We start from the raw sequence: 6,000 nt of genomic DNA, 5'->3' as shown, positions 1-6,000 counted from the left end.
CTATTTTCTACCAGTAAATTTTGTTTTCTAATTCACCTGTAATTGCCTTATACTTAAGATTTTTTGGATTCTAAAAGTTGTATTGATTGTAAATTATTTCTTGGATTAGAGAGTAATGCCACTTAGAAAATTAAAACCAGAACTATATTCAAGCACCTTAGACCAAAGTCCAATTTTAAGGCAGTTCTACAAAGCTGAGGTTATGAGTCATGGGCTCAATTTTCACTTTAACCAGCTAGTTTCATACTCTACCCTTCATCTCAGGCAACTTTTTAGCAGCTATGTATTGTTTATCATCAATGACTTAAGGCATAAAATGTGAATGTCAGTAGTGAATATCCATTTTCACTAAAGAAAAAAAATCAAATTGAATGTCCCATTGATGTTAGAGCAATAGCTTCATGATGCAGCACATACAATGTCTTAAAAGCACATTTATTCTGTTTGCACTGAGCTTATCAATTTATTGATAGACCTTGGTACAATATGAAATACAGGAGGACTCAGAAGATGGGCAAAATAATTAATGAAAAATGTTTTCTTTTACATCAGTAAATAATGCTGTAGATCTTCACAGTACATTGGAAGCACATTCTCTTATATGAAGAAATGAGTAAACCTTGGGAAAGTCATTTTATAAAACTTTGTCTTCTTTGGTGCTGTTTGTTTTACATTCTATAAAACAGTGCATTTTGCTAACTAAAGAATACTAACGCTTCCTTCTTTTTCAAAGATTCTAATCTTCTAATTACGTATTCAACTCACATGTATGATTATATCCTGCCCAAAGTCTCTAATTAAGATGCTCAACATTATTCCAGTTCCATTATCCTTTAATTCTATATATCATTCTGATTTTTTTCCCCTGTGTCGGGACCTATGAACAGATCTGATAGTGAGACAGGAAAGGTAGGCTGGCTGTATGTAAGTCAGCCTGTCTATGCTGAGAGCATCCTTTGCCAACCTGCACAAGCACGGTTTGGTGAGCGTTGGACAATCGCTTGTCAGGCATTACTTTCAGTGTGTAATGAGGCAGAGATGAGCCACTTTGTAATATAAAAACAAATGATTAACTGGCAAATAAGCTCAGAAAATGAAATAAACCAAACCTGACAATACAGTATAAGTGGCTCAGGTAGGAAAGATAGCACGGCATCTCATATTATTGATTTTAATTAGCAGGTAGAGTGGACTGAAAAGAAACAAAAGGAACTTCCTTCATAAACAAAAGGTTTTGCTACAATGATTGGTTAAGATTTGCTCCCGTTTTGTAAGGCCAACATCTAGGGCACATAATCTAAGTTGTCTGTCTTCTTTCTCTCTCTCTTCCCCCTCCAACTGTTCTTTCCCTCTTACTTTTTCAAATATAGCTAATTGGGGGATGAAGTGGTGGACACAGGCACAGGGGGCCTAGAAGAAGAAGATTTCGCTATGTATCTGGGTGTTGTGGGTTGGTTGTATTCTGTCTCCCTGCCCCTCACAAAATTCATATATTGACGCATTAATCTTTAATAGTTCAGAATGTGATGGTATTTGGAGATAAGGTCTTTAAAGAGGTAATCAAGTTAAAATTAGGTTATTAGGGTGTTCCTTTTTCCAATATGACTACTGTCCTTATAAGAAGAGGAAATTTGGAAACAAATACAGAGGGAAGACGTGAGAAGACACAGAGAGAATATGGCCAATGGCAAGCCAAAGGGAAAGTCCTGGAACAGATTCTTCCTCAAGGCCCTCAGGAACCAATCCTGCTGACATCTTGGTCTTGGATGGTTAGCCTCCAGAGCTGTGAGAAAATAAATTTCTGTTAGTTAAGTCACCGAGTCTGTGATACCTTCTTTATGGCAGCTCTAGCAAACTCATATACTGTTTTTTTTTTTTTACAGAATTAATTCTTTATCCATCGTCAGTGAGGCTGTACAGTTTTTTCAAGTGAGATTGTCTCCAACTGAGAGTCAAAGTATGTGCTTCTAATGCAAAAAGCACTGTACCCTCTGGTGCCTATATTGAACTGTTGAAGGCATTTTACAAGTGAGGCCTGTGTTGAATTTCTGAATATTAGTTGTACCCTCATCCTGGTTTAATATCCCTTTGGAAAAAAATCTGGTCATTTAAACTTGCCAGTAACTAAAATGGAGAAGGTATCCACATAGATGACAAAACCCAAACAATTCTTCTGCCTCTAGGGAAGTAACCAAACCAGGAGTGGTTACTGTGGCAGGTTAAAGATGGTTACAAATTCCTGACCATTCCTACCACCCAGAGATGGAGATCATTTGTGTACTTGCCAAATCTGGCTGAGCCAATAAAATATGATGGAAGTGACATTATGCCCGTTCCAGCCTAGTCTTTCAGAGGACTGGAGGCTTCCATTTCCTCCTTCTTGAATGGCAGTCACCATGTAAGAAATCCAACTCCTCTGAGACTGCCATGCAGTGGGAAGCCCACCCTATCTTCACAGGGTGAGAAGGGCACGTGGACAAGCCTGAGTTGCCACATATGTGAGAGAAATCTTTGTGGCTCTTCCCACCATCACAGCCATTATCCAAGGACAGGGGAGTGACAGACTGTAGCCAACAGCACAAACTGAGGTCACACATATGACCCTGCCTTTGTCAGTTCAGGCTACTATAATGAAAGACCTTACACTGGGTAGATTATAAAACAAACATTAATTTCTCACAATTCTGGAGACTGAAAAGTCCAAGATCAAACTGCTGACAGTTTCAGTGTCTAGTGAGGGCCCACTTCTCAGTTCATACTCCCAAGGGCCCTGCCTCCAAATTCCATCACAATGGGAATATGATTTCAACATACAAATTTTGAAGAGACACAAACATTCAGTCCATAACAGGCCCCAAGCAAACCATTTTAGCCAATCCACAGGTGTATGAGTCACCCCAACTGACCCCACCTGACTCTATGAGGCAGAGGGGAGCTACTCTCCACATTTCTGACCCTCAGACTTGGGAGCAGAGATTTGGAGTACTTTTTTATGCAGAAAAAGGTAAGTGAAACAAATAAGCTATTGAGGCTTTATAAAGATGTATTTAGAAACAGTTTTTATGCCATGTGTCTTGAATATAAATAGTTTTGTATCAGAGAAAAAGAAAGCATCTGTGAAACCAGATAAATGTTGACAGATTAGGAGCTCTCAAGTAAGTGTGAATTTTTATTTGATTCAGTTTCACTCTTGGGTTCTGCAGTGTTAAATAGAACGTTCAATAGCGTTACAGTTCTGTCACTAACTTGGGAACCTCTCTGTAAGGGAATTTCATTAATGGATCCCTTTGGTTGTGACCACAGCCCTTTGGACCTGGTAGGCAGTTTGGAGATTAGCTAGCTTGACTTGACTTTACCCAGCAGAAAGGAAGGCTTAGAGAGTTTAAGTGACTTGCCCAATGTCATAGGACCTATATTTGACTTGGGCAAGATCTCGGATCACCTGACATGCAAGGCAGAGTGCAGAATCTGCAATACAATTTTATGAAACTTCTAAATTATTAAAGATGATCCTTTTAGTAATTCCCATATTTAAAAATTCTACAAAATTCAACATTAGGATGCACCAAGATCTTCATCTTTGTCCAGCACCTTATTGCCACTATGTGTGTGCATACATATACACACACACATACACGCGTGTATATACAGACACATATACATGTGTCTGTATATACACACACATACATATATTTCAATATGTACTTGTTCCTAGTTTAACTTTTGCATGTGCATATATAAACATACTAATTGTTATAATATGGACATTTTTTCTGTGCATAATGTATTAGTGTCATGAAGTAGGGTACAAAACTTGGAGAATTTCTGGAAAGAGTTCAATGTAATGGAGATTGGTAAGCTATTAATATAATAAAGGCCACTTGTATCAGGCATTACTGAAAGAGAAAGACCTGCCCCATCAGTTTAAACCCAATCTTCAGAGGCTGCCAGCCATGTGCAACCAGAGATGATGTATTCCACTGTGTAGCTGGAGCTCTGACGATACTGTGATGGGAGTCAGTCGGGACCTCTGTGTAGAAAGACTGAAATTACTTCCACATTACAGTGAACACAAAAGAACAAAAACCTTATTAAACACAGATTTAGCTCATTATTCTATAAATCTCTCCCTGAAAACGAAGCTAATCCTTTGTCTCCGAATATTAAACACAACACTGATATTATAGTGAAGATAGGGATAATACCCTCCTCTATGTCTTGGCTCACCTCTGTCATATCAATGAGGAAAACATGTAATTGCTGTGGCTAATGCCTGTGAATAAGAGGGGCTGCCCACTAGATCTGGAGTCAGATTCCTCTATCTGGTTAGCTAAACCATCTTTCCTGAAAAATCTTTCCAGACTGATCTTCACTCAAAAGGCCTTCAGTGCAAGTTAATCTGGGGTTTCAAGTTGCAGAGGTCTTGGATGGCAAACGTTATGTTTGTATTCTTTAGTAATTATATTTGACTAAAAACACATTTGCCACTGGCTCTGCACTCAGATTAGGAACTCCTCAGGACCAGTGTCAACACCTCAGTAAGGCCCCTCAATTCACACAGGATTGGAGAGTAGCTTAGATTTATGTACATCTGCCTTTTTCCCCAATAAATACATTTGTTCATGGATATAACAGAATCTCCTCTATTTCTGATGATGTTATGTGCTTAAACTTTTATTAAGTACCATTTTTCCCTTTTAGAGAGTTGGGCATGAATGTTTTGTATCAGGAGCTGTCCAGTAAAGTTTAGGACTAACTCAAACCTGGGTCTATTCCCAGACAAAGTTGAAAATGGAAAAAGTGTAATTCTTACAATAATTAGTCATTGCCTTCATCACTTAAACATAAAAGCAAAGTTTTTGATTGATATTTGGTATAAGGGGTGGAAAGAAAGGAAAATTAATAACAATCAAGAGACAGAGAAAGAGAACAACAACAAAAAAGAAACAAGATAGAATTAATGAATAAGGGCTAGAAAACCAAGATGTTCTTAAACTCTAACTATGCTTTTTTTCCTGTTGTCAGCTGCTTTATTACTGCCAAACATTTTCTCCATTGGATTTTTTCCATTAAATATAATTGGTAACACAACACAATAGGACTGGACAGATGAGGCCAATTTTATTCCCTTATCTAAATTCATACTCGATGTTCTAACAGCTGGGCTCATACAAATTAATTAAACAAATAGCGGCTCCAAATTTTTTTTTTTTCAGATATGAGATGGAAGGCAGCTTGCTAGGAACCAATCATGGATATTGAAATCACATTCAGAGTGGGAAAAAATTCCAAATGTTTTTACTAATGTTGCCTCTTTACCTATAAACCAATATAGATATAAAAGTAAATTCTCCTTATCAGGCTATTGCCATTTTCACAGAAGAATTTTCATTTTATGTTGAATTATATCCTCTATTTTTTGATATTTATTTAGGAAGAAGGTGATGAGTTAAAACTGCTGGTTTTTCATCAACAGATCTAGATGTCTTTCAGGTCACAAGCAAAGAATGTAGGATTTTCTTACCCCCATGGACTAATTTCTGCATAAATTACTGTACATTTTCCAGTCTCAAAGGTTACTGTAACCTTTGAGTTGCCAGTAACAAAGGTTACTGTGCTTTTAGACAAATGAGATCAAGTAAAGTGGGAAGAGAAAGGCCTCAGGTCTGTATGTTCAGTGACACTGCACACGGAGTAGCTGTACTCATTCAGTTACCAGTTTCTTCCTATTCATCCAGTTAGCCTGGGGCAGATACCTGTGCCATTTTCCCATGTATATATTACCTTTCCCAACTACCTATCTTCTTCTTCTCAAATACTGTCAGTTTATAAACATCTTATCAGTTTTGAAGGACTATTTTAAAAACAACCTTTTTATGATGAAAGACTTTATCATCTGGATTCTGATAATACACAATAACAATCATTTTTAAATTAAAAAAATTCTTAGATGTTGCAAATGATATACTGAAATAATTTGAATAAAATAAAAATGTCAAA

General features: G+C 37.2%; 1 long non-coding RNA gene across 1 annotated transcript in view; it reads right to left on the bottom strand.

The window, feature by feature from the left end:
• Positions 1-438: 438 nt before the first annotated feature.
• LINC02234 (long intergenic non-protein coding RNA 2234) overlaps positions 439-6,000 on the bottom strand; it is an 82,718-nt gene continuing 77,156 nt past the window's right edge. Inside the window, exon 3 of the long non-coding RNA NR_146299.1 lies at positions 439-1,783. This is a non-coding gene — a long non-coding RNA (long intergenic non-protein coding RNA 2234). The remainder of the gene's footprint in view (positions 1,784-6,000) is intronic.

The sequence above is a fragment of the Homo sapiens genome, chromosome 5 (genome assembly GCF_000001405.40).
Source record: "Homo sapiens chromosome 5, GRCh38.p14 Primary Assembly".
Lineage (NCBI taxonomy): Eukaryota > Metazoa > Chordata > Mammalia > Primates > Hominidae > Homo > Homo sapiens.
Note: the sequence above shows the minus strand (reverse complement) of the source record. Positions and strands in the feature narration are given on the sequence as shown.